This window comes from Homo sapiens, chromosome 12, assembly GCF_000001405.40.
Source record: "Homo sapiens chromosome 12, GRCh38.p14 Primary Assembly".
Taxonomy (NCBI): domain Eukaryota; kingdom Metazoa; phylum Chordata; class Mammalia; order Primates; family Hominidae; genus Homo; species Homo sapiens.
In genome coordinates, this window is record NC_000012.12 from 38315475 (window position 1) to 38332085 (window position 16611).

General features: G+C 37.2%; 1 protein-coding gene across 3 annotated transcripts, besides 1 other annotated feature; it reads left to right on the forward strand.

Annotated features, from left to right (window-relative positions):
• Positions 371–1570: an enhancer, noted in NCBI's record as "MED14-independent group 3 enhancer chr12:38709647-38710846 (GRCh37/hg19 assembly coordinates)". NCBI's record gives its function as "activates an origin of replication core promoter dependent on BRD2, BRD4, P300/CBP and CDK7 cofactors, and independent of MED14, by STARR-seq in HCT116 cells {active_cell/tissue: HCT116}" and the evidence as "EXISTENCE:reporter gene assay evidence [ECO:0000049][PMID:35650434]".
• On the forward strand, positions 1213–14247 carry ALG10B (ALG10 alpha-1,2-glucosyltransferase B). Of its 3 annotated transcripts, none has more exons than XM_005268665.5 (3): positions 1213–1295; positions 2787–2984; positions 4687–14247. In XM_005268665.5, exons 2-3 carry the CDS (start codon positions 2796–2798, stop codon positions 5737–5739), a joined length of 1242 nt encoding a protein of 413 aa, XP_005268722.1. In that variant the 5' UTR covers positions 1213–1295; positions 2787–2795; the 3' UTR covers positions 5740–14247. The 3 variants fall into 3 exon arrangements, with proteins under 3 accessions (XP_005268722.1, NP_001013642.2, NP_001295269.2); NM_001013620.4 differs by lacking the exon at positions 1213–1295 and adding an exon at positions 1300–1590; NM_001308340.2 differs by lacking the exon at positions 1213–1295 and adding an exon at positions 1300–1590 and having other exon boundaries at positions 8439–14247.
• The last annotated feature ends 2364 nt before the right edge of the window (positions 14248–16611 follow it).

Below are 16611 nucleotides of genomic sequence, written 5' to 3' on the forward strand. Positions count from 1 at the left end.
GGAGATGATGGTTAAAGCAAAGCTAAGCATCACATCAGAGTAGAATCCTGACATGATTTTATTCCAGTAATGTAAATATTCCCGTCCCAGCCCTCATTCACCACTACCTCCTCTTATCATTGAGGAAACAGGCAGAGACAGACTGGAAAGGCAGTCAGCTTGATTTAAGAAACTTTCTTAAGTTCAGAAATACTGAATTATTTTTAACCCAGAAAAAGAGCTCAATTGAGAACTCTGAGGTTTGCAACCTTAAATCCCGACTCAATCTGATATATGCCTGCCAAAGGCAACCTGACTGAGGTTACCTGAGAGAAAGTTTTTCTACAAAACATGGCCAACCATGCTCAAGACAAAATTCCAACACATAATTTATCTTCGGCATTCTTCAAATTATTTACCACATCTCCTGCCCCCAACACCTAATCCCAGAATACAGGAATTTGATGATGTCTACACAGCCTATAAAAGTCCACAAATTTAAGTGCCTACTGTGTGAAAGCCATTTGGGGGACTACAAACATAAAGGATGTATAATGCCACCCACTAAGATGTTCACGCTTATGATTTAGTAGGAAAAACAGAAGGCTGCCTTATAAATATTAACAACCTAATTTACAGGCACACCTAAAACATCCCAAATTCTAAAATATATATTTTCTTCCAAATCCTACAGGGTAATATGGCTATGAGAGTGCACTAGGAGTGTCAATTTTACTAAATCCTCTGAGAGCATCCACATTTTGAAAGAGTTCTCTCTTAACCTAAACAAACAAACAAACGAACAAACACTCCTCTCACTGAAGTTCATTCGGCATTGACGGGTCTCTGGTTCTTCAAGTTTTCATCTGAAAGTCTCAGTCTTTGCTATCACAACCAACGCCCCCTTCCTACACTCCAAGGTTGATGGAATGAAATGTCTTGGAATTGAGGGTTTAATTAATTCGGATCACTGGAGAGAAAGAAAAGAAATAACGGGGGAAAAAAATGTGTTAATTTTAGGGCTTGGAATTGGAAACGTGGGGAAACGTCGCCACCTTCTGGTAAGTGATGGAAATGAGCAGGAAAAAAGATCCAAGCTAAGAAGCGGCTTTTTTTTTTTTCCAAAGCAGCAAGCCACGCCCCTCCCGCGCTCGCGAAATCCGAGACCCGCCCTTTCCGGAAGTTTTGACACTGTGCGCCCCGAGTAATGTGATGGAGAGGGTAATCATCCGGTCCGTTATCTAAACCCGTCACTCCAGGAAACAGCGACCCGCTGTTTTCCGGATCCGCGCTCTCCCAGCATCCTTTGCCTTCCGGTATGTGGCCCCGTCTGGCTAGTCCTGTCTAGCGCGCCCATTTCGAGCCCAAGTTTCCAGCTCGGGTTTCCGGGCTCAGAATTTTCCAGGAGTGGGTTCTTGGGCAGTGGCTGTGGGAGCAGGAATGGCGCAGCTAGAGGGTTACTGTTTCTCGGCCGCCTTGAGCTGTACCTTTTTAGTGTCCTGCCTCCTCTTCTCCGCCTTCAGCCGGGCGCTGCGAGAGCCCTACATGGACGAGATCTTCCACCTGCCTCAGGCGCAGCGCTACTGTGAGGGCCATTTCTCCCTTTCCCAGGTGGGGTGCCCAACCTGTCCCCACCCCAGGAGAGGCCTGAAAGGTCCCAGCGTCCCCAGCTCCTTCTCCCATCTTTAGACTTAACTCGTCCCTTTCCACCCCACCCCAGCCTCAGAACATGAAAGAAACTGGGTATAGTCTTTTGTTCCTGTCTCTGAGATCTGTGAAATATTTATTAAATGAATGAATAAACAGCAGATCTGATCCCCAGGGAGGAGTGATCTGGGAGAATACTTAGTGGGGAACTGAGCGCTCCTCTTGGCAGCTGACAATATCGATCCCACTTTGTTTTTCCTTGTCTCAGGATTAAAGGCATTCGGGTGCTCCTTGGAAATATCAGAAAACTTCCCTTTAGCTCACCTGTTAAGCACCTCACTGTGCATTTTAGGGGTGGGATAGGGTGGACTGGAGGGATCTTCGGCTACCAAAAAGTGACAATTTATAATCACAAATTCCTTCCCTGGGTATTTTTAGTGAACTATCTGTTGACTGGATAAACTGGCAACCAGTCAAGTCACATCATTTTTGAATATATATTTGACTGTGCAAGTATGTACATATAAATATCAAAATAAACATCCCCTGCTTTTCTGGTGACACAATATAGGGTACTGGCTAGAAATATAAAGTCTGTTTTAGAGAAAGATCTGATCTTAAATCTTGGTGCTGTGATTTACTAGTTTTGTGATCTTGGAGATGTTCTGAGTTTCAGAAATTCAGGTTACTCATCTGCAAAATGACAATAATCTTTACTATAGGGCATATTGTAATGTTACAATACAGAGGGTTTGGCACAATTTCTGTCTCAGTTTATGTCAGCTGTCATCATGGAGCCTGTGGTCCAAATGTTTTCCTAAACTTAGAGTCCCAAACAATGTTTCCATGCTTTTAAAAACTGGAGCATTTGCAGTTTATTTATCAAAATAAAGGCTTTTAAAGAACATTTCTTGGAAAATAGAAATAGATTTTAAGTTGTTGTTTATTGGTTGCTGCTACCTGAACCATCACTAAGCTGGTCCGGGGGCAAAAAATAAGAAAAACTAATCCTGTTCTGCCAAGGACTTACTTAATCTTGTCATAGACTAACTTCTCAAAATTTCTGATTGTTGCTGGAGATGAGACTTGGGCTTGACATATTTGTGTCTGTCTTGTTCGTATTACCTCTTGCTTTTACTTCATTTTCTTTCATTTTAAAGTGGGATCCCATGATTACTACATTACCTGGCTTGTACCTGGTGTCAGTTGGAGTGGTCAAACCTGCCATTTGGATCTTTGCATGGTCTGAACATGTTGTCTGCTCCATTGGGATGCTCAGATTTGTTAATCTTCTCTTCAGTGTTGGCAACTTCTATTTACTATATTTGCTTTTCCACAAGGTACAACCCAGAAACAAGGTATGTTTCAAAATACTTAATTACAAGTTTATGTGTAGTCAGGTCCACAATTACAATGAATTAGTTTTATGAGATTTGGTGAAAAATGTCTTTAACACTTTGTAACTTTGTATTTTTTGTATATTATGTAAAGGTAAATTTAAATTCTCCATCTCCATTTTAGAATAAATTTGTATTTAAATACTTGAATAACTTATTTGTAAACTCTAAAGTAAATATTTGTTAAGTGAGTCAAACCAGTTCAATAAATACTTACTGAGCTTATTCCATGTGCTGGGGACTGGGACTACAGAGATAAATGAGGCAGTCTTTTTCTTGTAAAACGTATATATTCAGTAGGGAAAACAGACTTTACCTGAGGACTTTTGATGTGGTAATAGTGCAGGCCCCGGAGGTCGATTGCCTGGGTTAGAATTCTCTCCCTGCCACTTAACCAGTTTTGTTACTGTGGGCAGGTTAACCCTTAGTGGCTCCATGTCTTCATCTGTTAAATAAGAATAACAATAGAATCTGCCTTATAGAACTGTTATAAAGGAACAAGGAAACTTAATAAATGGAAGATGCTTCAAATAGTGCCAGATATATAGTAAGGGCTCAGTAAATATTAACTCTAATAATTATTTTTAACCTTAAGAGATTATTTCAGTAGTGTCAATTATGATAGAGTAGTAGACATAAGATGCTATGAGGACACAGAGAAGGAGCAGGGAAACACTTACTGCTTTTCTGGGAGGGAGAGGAGTATGTGGCATTCAGTAAGTCCTCACAGAGAAGATGGTACCAGAGCTGAGTCCTGATGAACGGATAGGGCTGTGTAGGGTGAGGAATTAATCCTGGGGAGACAAACAGCATAAGCAAAGGAAGAAAGGCATTGAACAATGAGGTGCAGGGAATTGGTCTTGGAATTACAGGATTAGAAAGTAGAGGGATGTAAGGCTAGAGAAGTAGGTCATGAATGCCCTCATATGTCACAGAGAGGACTTTGAACTTTAGCATGTAATGGAGAGACCTTAATTTTAATCAAGGAAATGACATGGTCTGATTTAGTGATTTAGATTAAGTGGAGTATACAATTCAAGAACATAAGAACACTTTCAAATTCTGAAATAGCATGTCAGAAAGGCCAAAATAAGATATATAAGTTTAGACTGGCTCACTTTTCAGAAAAATACCGTTATTTCATCATGAAAATATCATCTTGAAAAAGTAAGTCTGGATATGGTAAAATAAATACCATATGCATGTTTACATTCTCCCTTGTGTAGTGTTATGAAGGATTTCCTTAAAGGAAAGTGGTGATTATGGCTAAGTGAATCCTTATTGAAGGCACTAAAACATAAGCTCAGGGAAATGGAGCCAGCATTGTGTCCTATTTATCTCCATAGTCCCCACAGAACTTAGTCGGTATCTTGCACTCAGTAACTCCTTAACTAATCATAGCCTGATTCAAATTGTGTTAAGCTATAGAAGCTTTGGCATACACACGGTCTCCAAACTGATAGGTATAAATAAAAAGTACCAGGAAGTGTTCTTATAAATGTTTATTGTGTTTTTGCAAAGCCAGAGATAAGATTAATATTGATTAATTTTATTTAAATAAGGTTTGAGTAGTTGAGTAGTTTTAAATAAATCTCTTCATTAGGTAAGCAGAAATAGCATTTATCATTAAAATAATTGTATCTGTGTTTTTTCTTCCTCCAAGGCTGCCTCAAGTATCCAGAGAGTCTTGTCAACATTAACACTAGCAGTATTTCCAACACTTTATTTTTTTAACTTCCTTTATTATACAGAAGCAGGATCTATGTTTTTTACTCTTTTTGCATATTTGATGTGTCTTTATGGAAATCATAAAACTTCAGCCTTCCTTGGATTTTGTGGCTTCATGTTTCGGCAAACAAATATCATCTGGGCTGTCTTCTGTGCAGGGAATGTCATTGCACAAAAGTTAACTGAGGCTTGGAAAACTGAGCTACAAAAGAAGGAAGACAGACTTCCACCTATTAAAGGACCATTTGCAGAATTCAGAAAAATTCTTCAGTTTCTTTTGGCTTATTCCATGTCCTTTAAAAACTTGAGTATGCTTTTCTGTTTGACTTGGCCCTACATCCTTCTGGGATTTCTGTTTTGTGCTTTTGTAGTAGTTAATGGTGGAATTGTTATTGGCGATCGGAGTAGTCATGAAGCCTGTCTTCATTTTCCTCAACTATTCTACTTTTTTTCATTTACTCTCTTTTTTTCTTTTCCTCATCTCCTGTCTCCTAGCAAAATTAAGACTTTTCTTTCCTTAGTTTGGAAACATGGAATTCTGTTTTTGGTGGTTACCTTAGTCTCTGTGTTTTTAGTTTGGAAATTCACTTATGCTCATAAATACTTGCTAGCAGACAATAGACATTATACTTTCTATGTGTGGAAAAGAGTTTTTCAAAGATATGCAATTCTGAAATATTTGTTAGTTCCAGCCTATATATTTGCTGGTTGGAGTATAGCTGACTCATTGAAATCAAAGCCAATTTTTTGGAATTTAATGTTTTTCATATGCTTGTTCATTGTTATAGTTCCTCAGAAACTGCTGGAATTTCGTTACTTCATTTTACCTTATGTCATTTATAGGCTTAACATAACTCTGCCTCCCACATCCAGACTTGTTTGTGAACTGAGTTGCTATGCAATTGTTAATTTCATAACTTTTTACATCTTTCTGAACAAGACTTTTCAGTGGCCAAATAGTCAGGACATTCAAAGGTTTATGTGGTAATATCAGTGATATTTTGAACTGTAAAAATGGACTTAATAATTAGACCATTTCTACAAAGAACAACTGAATAGGTGGAAAACATGGAATTTCTTTTAGGTGCAGTGGTGGTCCTCAAATTACATTAGTTTTTTTAATATATATTTTAAACATATGTAAGAAATTAAGTGGCAAAGAACTGGGAAAGCTTAAGACCTGCTTCAAAAGCCTGAATAATGGGAAAATAAAATTGTTTTCAGATATCTCATATCGCTCTCGTAATGTTGGCCCCTCACAAAGCTTGGGAATGTTTTGTATGTATAAGTTTATTAAAACTGGGTATGCTTCATATTACTAGAACTAATTTATTCTCTTCAGAGAGAACTATTAGGTTAGTGCAAAAGTAATTGTGGTTTTTGCCATTGAAAGTAATGGCAAAACCACAATTACTTTTGTACCAACCTAATAACAATGTGTTAGCAAATATTTACAAATGGTCAGGTGATATTCTTGACTGAAAAGTTCCTTAACATTTCAGTAAATATAATTTTAATTCTAAGTCAAAATAGAAATGCATAGATAGTAAATGATAAAGTAGAGACTCATATATGTCTGTCTAGGCATCAAATTGTTGGTTATTGTTTACAATCCAGAAATGATGAAGCTCTTTCACTAATTCCTAATATGAAATGTATGATGGCCAAAGACAAATTGTGTTGATTATAATCCTTTAAAAGGGGGATTTCCTTTATGAAATACATATTGTATTAGCTTCCCAGGGCTGCCATAACAAATGACCACAAACTTGGGTGCTTACAACAATTTTCCTCACAGTCTGGAGGCCAGAAGTCTAAAATCAAAGTGTCAGCAGAGTTGGTTCCTTCTGGAGGCTCTAAGGAAGAATCCATTCTATGTCTGTTTCCTAATATCTTGTGGCTGTCTGCAATTCTTGGAGTTCTTTGGCTTATGGGCATATCTTGTCTAAGTATTGCAGACAGCAATCTTCACTCCAGTCTCTGCCTCTGCGTTCACACGGCCTTTCCCTCTGTCTTTTCATTACCTTTTAAGGACAGTGTCTTTGAATGTAGGGCCCACCCTGATCTAGGGTGATTGTGTCTGGAGACCCTTAATTATGTTTACAAAGACCCATGTTCCAAGTAAGTTTGTATTCACATGTTCTGAGTAGACATTGTCTCTTCATGGGATACTTTTCAGTCCATGACAGTTACTAAAGGACATTTTAGGATAATCCTCATATGATTGTTAGGAGACTACCTTTAAAAATTTTTTATTATATATCAAATTATAGTTGTATATACTTATGAGGTACGAAGTGGCATTATGATTTTTGAATATAATGTGGGATGATTAAATAAAGCTAATCTATCCATCACCTCAAATATTTGACATATTTTGTGATGAAAACATTTGAAATGTACTCTCAACAGTATTGAAATGTACATACAGTGCTTAATTATTAGCTGTATTCACCATGTTGTGTAATAGATCTAAAAAAAGTCAAACATATTCCTTCTATCTAATTGAGGCTTTGTATCTTTTGATTGTCATCTCCCTATTCCCACATCCCCGGCCTCTAGCAACCATCATTCTTCTCTCTACTTCTGTGAGTTTAATTGTTTTAGATTACACAAATAAGTGAGATCATGTGGTATTTGTCTTTCTGTGCTTGGCTTATTTCACTTACCATAATGTCCTCCACGATCATCCATATTGTTGCAAATGACACAATTTCTTCCTTTTTAAAGGCTGAATAGTATTTTTTTGTATATATATGCCACATTTTCTTTATCCATTCATCCATGGATGGACACTTAGGTTGATCGAATCACTTGGTTATTGTGACTTGTCTGCAATGAACATAGAGTGCAGACTTCTCTTTGACATACGGATTTCAAATCTTCTGGATAAATAGCCAGAAGTGGGATTGTTGGATCAGGAGATAATATCTTAGCTGATACCTTTTAAATAACTCTCAGTATCTTTACTGAGAGGTTAAAAAATAAGTGACTTCTTAGGTAATATAAAGCTAAAGGTGACTAGTGTTTGATTCCATTATCTATTAAAAAAAGTCAGAATTGAAAGAAAGTTGAGAAATCCTTTGGTCTGACTTTGTAGATTAGGGAACAACTGCTGGGGTAGGATTATTTTGTGTTACTTTTTGAATTTTGTGTTTATTATTTTGAGTGTATTTTTTGGGTTGTCATTCCATTACAGGAAAGTATTATTTGGGCATGTTAACTTTGACATGTAAACTTAGAATTGTGAATAGAACTCATCTTTTAACATAATTTTATGTTTCTAAACTTTAAAAGTAGCTATAAGTGAACAAATTACTTTCCCCTCAATGTCAAATTTTGCTTCTCTGAGTTTTAAGTGATGAGTCTACATTTACAAATATAAAATTGTGTGCAGGTGAAAATTACAAGTATAATTTGAGTAATAAATGCAGGCCATTTTTTGGTTGTACTCTAGTACTCAGAAAATAGATCGGCATTAGTTATAACAGTGATTGTAGAAAAACGTGTTTTACCCAGACTTCTTAAAAATTAGATGAGAGAGGACACTCAAAGAAATTATACTTTTGTCATTAATTTACTATAGTGGAGAACTAAATCTGGGAAGTCAAAATTGAAAAAAGAATGTGTAATTTAGGGAAAGTAACTTTTTGTCTGATAATATTAATGCAAGGATTTTGTATTTAGGAATACTTCTGAGAGGAGAAGCTTCCACTCTGATCTAGTCTGGCAAAATTGAGGAAAATATTCTACCCTGTAATTAAAGAAGACTGCTCTTTGGAGGGATCACTGTTCTATATCTTTTTTTGTTTGTTTTTGTCTTTGAGGAGAAGTCTCGCTCTTGTCCCCCAGGCTGGAATGCAATGGCGCGATCTTGGCTCACTGAAACCTCCACCTCCTGGGTTCAAGCAGTTCTCCTGCCTCAGCCTCCCGAGTAGCTGAGATTATAGGCGCCCACCACCAAGCCTGGCTAATTTTTTCTATTTTTAGTAGAGCCGGGGTTTCACCGTGTTAGCCAGGCTGGTCTCGAACTCCTGACCTCAGGTAATCCACCTGCCTCGCCTCCCAAAGTGCTGGGATTACAGGCGTGAGCCACTGTGCCCAGCTCTTCTAGTTCATTTTTAAGTGTTGAGTCCCTGCTGTTTAAGAGATGTTTTGGTGAAAATCTACATTCAGAGAGAAACAGGTTAATCTTCCACATTTTTTATAAAATACATAAAATATAGTACTTGGCATTTTAAGAAAAGAATGCCATGTATTAAAAGGTGCTATTTTCAACTATTTATTATTTTAAAACAGGAATGCTTATCAATACTTTCGAATTTAAGATAAATGTCTTCGTTAAATTTTCTAGGCAGTTCAAAGATGGCCATTTGCTGGTGAATTTTCCAAAATAGATAACAGATAAAATGATTATGTAAGAACTTGGCACAACAGATCATTTTGCCTTTAGTCGTTCAAGAAATGATACTAAACTCAAAGTCATTCACTTGAAACAACTGAGAAGACCATTCTTAGGTGTTTAGATCCTTGCTTTTAGAAACATTCTTAGTTATATTTGTGTTTTCAAAAGTTATTGAGTAGATAGATATTTTTTCATGAATTTTTAAACATTAGACTTAGCTGAATTGATTAAAATTAGGTGATTATGAAAAAAATATTGCCCTGCTCGAGGGCATCTGGAGCCCTACAGTTACCATTACTAAAGTCTGTGAGTATGTCTATTTTGAAAAGTGTCATAAAAATATCTAGTCCATAAATCATTATAGGTTCAGTAATACATCATTTTGAACTGATTCTATCTTCTGTGAAATTCTAGAGATATGTTATCTTTAGGTAGCATGAGTAAGATTCAGGTATGCTGTGAATTTTGTTAACGTTTATGTTTTCCATTAATGGATAGTCAGGAATCTTTTGAACTGCGTCTATGTATTTAAATGATTTGGAAAGATAGCATCTCTCAGTTTAAACTTAGCATCTCATTTTGGCAAGATAAATTATTTTAGCTGTCTGGCCTTTTCTTTGTCTTCTTAGAGTTATTTCTGAAATGTGCATAGCCAGTCATAAAATAACTTGTGTAAATAGCCTAATGTAATTTATTTCTAATAAATACGTAGCTTAATGAAATGTATTTCTAGTTTGAACTTAATTGCCACTTGGCTTGATATTATTTTCCTTAGAATTGTTGGAAGAGAGGAGAGAGGAAGGGATCTACCATTTTTATTTATACCACCTAAATAGTGGACTGTTATTTTGGACTCACTTTTAAATAAAATATTTATTCACATGAAGAAATAAATTTTGTGTTTATTAGGTTAGCAAGCGTTTATTATCTTTGAAGTAATTGGAATTTCATTAAAAAGTGAAGCAAGTAAGAATTGTGATATAAATTTGAAAATTTTTAAATGGAAATTGAAATATGACTTAGGAACTGTGGGCTTGTAGAAAAAAACATTTAACATGGGAGTTAAGATTTTTATATTTGGTTGTGGCTCTGGGATCAATAAGGCAAGTGGTTTAGTCTTTAGTCCTCATTTCAAATGAGAATAGTATTTGTCCTAACTCTAGTCAGTGTCTGATTGGTATGTGTATAACCTTATTTTAAAAAGGATTCATTCCTGCCATATACTCATAATATTTATAAGTATGTCATATGATAAATATTGAGTAAATATATACTGAATGAAGTTTTTAGTATAGAGTGAAGTGAATAGAAAAAACATCCTACATAACCGTGGCTAATTTTAGGAAGTAAATCATGTTTCATAATAAGAGTCATCCTAAACATTTTTCTGTGTAATTTTCTGACCCAGTGTTAACAATTTTTATTTGCCTTAGTGCAAGCTTGTTCAACCCACAGGCCACATGCAGCCCAGGATGGCTTTGAATGCGGCCCCAACACAAATTTTGTAAGCTTTCTTAAAACATGATGAGATATTTTGTGATTTTATTTTATTTTATTTTATTTATTATTTTATTTTATTTTATTTTATTTTTTAGCTCATCAGCTATCATTAGTGTTCGTGTATTTTATGTGTGGCCCAAGATGGTTCTTCCAGTGTGGCCCAGGGAAGCCAAAAGATTGGAGACCCCTGCTAGCATTTAATGCTTATACATGTATTTACTTGTAAACATGTTGTTTCTTTGATAGGATATGATTTCAACATAATTACTGTTTATTTAAAATAAGAAAAACAAATAACTTTCAACCATTAAAAGGTTATAACACTTTAAAGGAAAGTTTCTTATTAAAGAAACTTTATACCCTATTAAGGGTATAATTTCAAAATAATTGCTTTTTATTTAAAATAAGAAAATATTCTTATTTCTATTTAAAATAAGAAAAATCAGTAACCTTCAACGAATAACAGGTTAAAGAATTTAAAGGTAAAAGACATTTCAACTAATTACAAATACTTTGTTTTTTTTAGTTGGGCTACATTTTACCACTCTAGGAATAGCTGTTAATTATTTTTTATATAGGGCATTTTTATGTATTTAATGTTGACAACTGACGTTTCCAATATACAAAAACTTGTGTAACTGAGAAAATTATAATAAAAATAGAGATTGAGGACATATTTTTAACATATATCCATGAGTCAACACTAATATTTAATATTTGAGATTTGAAAAATTATTTCTAGGGTAAGAAATTCTGTCACAATATAATATCTCTATATTGTGCTTTTTTAAGAGATAAATTTTTGATGAATTTAATGTTAATTAAATTTTATCTCAGCCTATCACCATCAGACCAAAAGACAATACAGTATTTTTCTAACAAGGAAAAGAAAATACATATATATATATTTATATATACAAATATATACGTATTTATATATACAAATTTGTATATATGTAATGTATGTGTGTGTGTATACATATAATTTCTCCTTTTTTTTTTTTGTAAGAATTGAGACAGGGTGTCACTATGTTGTGTGGGCTGGTCTCAAAACACCTGCCTCAAGTGATCCTCCCACCTTGGCCTCCCAAAGTGCTAGGATTTACAATGAGCCACTGTGCCAGCTTCCAACAAGAAAAATATTAAATGTATTGGTTTTTCACAGTGAAACTTAATTCAGTTTAGTTGAACCATATATGTGTGTGTATGGCATATATAAGATGAAAAAAGGAGAAAAAGTAACAATAATAATGATGGTTGCCATCATTCATTGAACACCTATAATGTTTTAGGCATTATACTAGCTGATTTACAAATATTGTCTCATTTGATGCTACATTTATATTTCTATGAGGCAGATGTTGATTTCTCTTTGACTGCTGAAGAAACTGAAGGTCGGTCAGGTCAGGTGATTTGCCCAAAGTCCACACTGTCACTAAATGAACATAGATTGGTATGACTCCCAAGCCTGTGAGTTTTTGACCGTCATATTCTGCCTCACTATGAAAAGTTTTTTTTCAATTTTTTTTAAATCAAAAGAAGTAGTATATGGAGAGAGAGGTGAAAATCCATGTTTGCTCTCTGCAGTTTCCAAACCATTCATGACGTGTTATTTTTGTACTGGATATAGTCATTTTTTAAAATGCTACAAACTGTTCAAAAGAGCATGAACAACATGATAACTCCTTATAATTTTGTTGTAAGATAAATGACTAAAATTATGTGGGATATTTAATTTGGATAAGTGGAAATTCTATCACTTGATAAGCTCTCTTGAAGAATAATTATTTGAAAGATTGGACTTAATTCTGTATTGCCTGAAGTGTAAATCAGAGGTCAACAATTAGATTGCAAATCATGAAAAGCATAACTTCTAATTGTTTAGTCTTTTTAGGGAAACAAGCCCAGAAAAAAAGTAAGATTCTCATTCATTGGAGATAAGATTTCTATTTATCAAAGATACTACACAAGAGTTAGATAGCAAGTAGTTCAAATGTCTTTTAAAGGTATCTGACATCTTTAAAGCTCTGTAATTTTTAAATTCTAAATTTTGTTACAGCTAATTTTTAAAAATTAATTGCTAAGTCATGGTCAAGTATTTCTGATGACTTACATGCTGTCTTTGGTATATTTTAAGTTTCTAAACCAAAACTACTATTTGACTCTATTACACCCTGTTTTAGAAAAACATTTGAGTTATACAACTTACTAAAATGTATTTTAGCGGTGATGTTTTGGAGCACTGGTAATATAGTGTTTAACTTATTTTCTATTTTTTATCCCTCTATATTCGTGAAATTACTTCTATTTGAAAAGTTTTCCGCCAGTGATAAAAAAAGGCTGAGCACTATCTGTAAAAATTTTTAAGGTGTCCACTAGGTGGAGATATTGTGCTACATTTCCAAGTGTTGTAGTTAAACTTTTATTAGTCTGAATTAAACTCTTTTATAGTGTTTTATTGTTTTAAACCACAAAGATTTATAATCATTTATATCTATTTATCTAATGTTATTCAAATGTTTTCTGCGTTGTATGAAGCTAAGATAAATGTAAAAAAAACAAACAAAAAAAACCTCACTTTGTGTTTTGTAATCATTAGACGATTTAACCTAATATATCTTCCCATATGATATGATCTTTGCATATGGCATACTTCATTCATATGACATAGTTAGAATCTTTTCCCACAAACAATGAGTGATGATATCTCATTTGAAAACTCGTGTAACATTGTATCAGCCACTGTTATAAAGTGATTTACCCATGTTAGTCTCATAACAACTCTATGAGATCAGTACCGTACACATGGGGAAACTTAGTATAGAGAGGTGAAGTATTTTTTCCAAGATTACAAAATAACTGTCTGAGCTGGGATTCGTAACCAGGCAGCCTGACTCCAAAATCAATATTCTTAACTCTATTGTTATGATGGAGAAAGGCATGAAGTCTACCTTCAAATTCATGGCATTTTAGAAGGAAAAATTGTCGCAAGTAATGTGATTATACTTCCTAGTTTTATAGGTCAGAAAAATGAGGTCCACACTAATTTTGCCTCTTCCACAGGGAGATAGATTCTCATCTACCATTGTGTCTTTTGTTTCTGTTTTTGTCATGATACCTCAAATTGATATATGTTGTAATTATGAATTTAAGGAAGTAAAAAAATAACTCAGGGCTGGAGCCTTCAGCCATATTAACATACATTGACATAAAGACCTTTGTTTTAATATGAATGATTCCAGTTAACAAATGGAGAAATAGTTGTTTGAAAATTAATATTTAGCTTCTCAAAAGAGACTCCTGTTTGGAAGCAAATTGTTGGTTTAACAGGACATACTTTAGATATTTGAAAAATTCTCTGTGGAATCACAATCTCTTATTTTTAAGAATGTAGGAATATGTGTTCTATATGCTTTTAAGTTATGTATTACATACTATTCTCTAAAATAGAAATGTTTATTTGGCTTCTAAAAGTCATTTGTGAGTTGATGTTATTTAAAACTGCTTTTCAGTCAACTTATTCTTTATAAAAAAGTTTGTTCAAATAGCATGTTTTTATTTTGTTTCTAAATAAATTCATGTTTGATAATATTTTATAATGTGTTGTGTCTATTTTTTTTTTTTTTTTATTGATCATTCTTGGGTGTTTCTCGCAGAGGGGGATTTGGCAGGGTCATAGGACAATAGTGGAGGGAAGGTCAGCAGATAAACAAGTGAACACAGGTCTCTGGTTTTCCTAGGCAGAGGACCCTGGGGCCTTCCGCAGTGTTTGTGTCCTTGGGTACTTGAGATTAGGGAGTGGTGATGAGTCTTAAGGAGCATGCTGCCTTCAAGCATCTGTTTAACAAAGCACATCTTGCACCGCCCTTAATCCATTTAACCCTGAGTGGACACAGCACATGTTTCAGAGAGCACCGGGTTGGGGGTAAGGTCATAGATCAACAGCATCCCAAGGCAGAAGAATTTTTCTTAGTACAGAACAAAATGGAGTCCCCTATGTCTACTTCTTTCTACACAGACACAGCAACAATCTGATTTCTCTATCTTTTCCCCACATTTCCCCCTTTTCTATTCGACAAAACCGCCATCGTCATCATGGCCCGTTCTCAATGAGCTGTTGGGTACACCTCCCAGACTGGGTGGCGGCCGGGCAGAGGGGCTCCTCACTTCCCAGAAGGGGTGGCCGGGCAGAGGCACCCCCCCACCTCCCAGACGGGGCGGCTGGCCGGGCGGGGGCTGCCCCCCACCTCCCTCCCGGACGGGGTGGCTGGCCGGCTGGGGGCTGACCCCCCACCTCCCTCCCGGACGGGGCGGCTGGCCGGGCAGGGGCTGACCCCCCCCACCTCCCGGATGGGGTGGCTGCTGGGCGGAGATGCTCCTCACTTCCCGGACGGGGCGGCTGCCGAGCGGAGGGGCTCCTCAGTTCTCAAAGGGGGCGGCTGCCGGGTGGAGGGGCTCCTCTCAGACGGGGCAGCCGGCCAGAGACGCTCCTCACCTCCCAGACGGGGTCGCGCTGGGCAGAGGCGCTCCTCACTTCCCAGACGGGGCGGCGGGGAAGAGGCGCTCCCCACATCTCAGACAATGGGCGGCCGGGCAGATATGCTCCTCACTTCCTAGACGGGATGGTGGCCGGGAAGAGGCGCTCCTCACTTCCCAGACTGGGCAGCCGGGCAGAGGGGCTCCTCACATCCCAGACGATGGGTGGCCAGGCAGAGATGCTCCTCACTTCCCAGACAGGGTGGCGGCCGGGCAGAGGCTGCAATCTCGGTACTTTGGGAGACCAAGGCAGGCGGCTGGGAGGTGGAGGTTGTAGCGAGCCGAGATCACGCCACTGCACTCCAGCCTGGGCAACATTGAGCACTGAGTGAATGAGACTTCATCTGCAATCCCGGCACCTCGGGAGGCCGAGGCTGGCAGATCACTCCCGGATAGGAGCTGGAGACCAGCCCGGCCAACACAGCGAAACCCTGTCTCCACCAAAAAAATACGAAAACCAATCAGGCGTGGCGGCGCGCGCCTGCAATCGCAGGCACTCGGAAGGTTGAGGCAGGAGAATCGGGCAGGGAGGTTGCAGTGAGCAGAGATGGCAGCAGTACAGTCCAGCTTCGGCTGGGCATCAGAGGGAGACCATTGAAAGAGGGAGAGAGAGAGGGAGACCGTGGGGAGAGGGAGAGGGAGAGGGAGTTGTGTCTATTTAACACATTTTCTTATCCTAAACCAAGTATTAGAAGCTTTGTATTTCCCTCACACTGTCCTGTTAGCCATTTTCCCCTGTCTACCACCTCCCTAATGCTAAGCTTTATTAGTCATTTTAAAATAGAACCAAATCTTTTTAAATACCTGTGATGTGTGCTCATAACTAGCCTGGGTGTCTGTATAATCTTCCTTTTATTCTCATAATAATAGAAAGCAGTTAAATTACTGGCTGATCACCTTGAACTTGTTGGGGCTTGGGTTTCTTTTTTAGGCTAGGTCTGTAGGAAGCTCAGAGTATTTACCAAACACATCTAACTTGGCAGGGTTCAAGCCCCAGTCTTTGGGTCTTGTGGTGAAAAAAAAGAAAGTGGTCCCTACTCTGTGTTTGCAGACTTCCACCTCTTACTTTCCATTGGGTGTCTTCGAGTTTCTCTTATCATATGCAGCTCAGAGGTCAGCCCAGGACTTATACACAGATTTTGGGATTCCCTTCTTCTGTGACTCCCTCTTTTCTGAGATTTCTCCTAATTACAGCTACTCTAGCAGTCCTGAGTTCCATCCTTTCACACCTCAAACCAATCATACTGCACCTTTCTAACTAGGGTGTGCCCTCTGGGGGAAAAGCCATATAAACATGGATCTCACCCAGTGAGATCTTTCAACTGAGTCCATCCAGTTCCTGCCTTCTTTTGTTTACTCTTCAATGTTTCCAAAAAGATTTTTTCCCTTTTTAAATGAGTCAATCTACTGGAAAGCTAA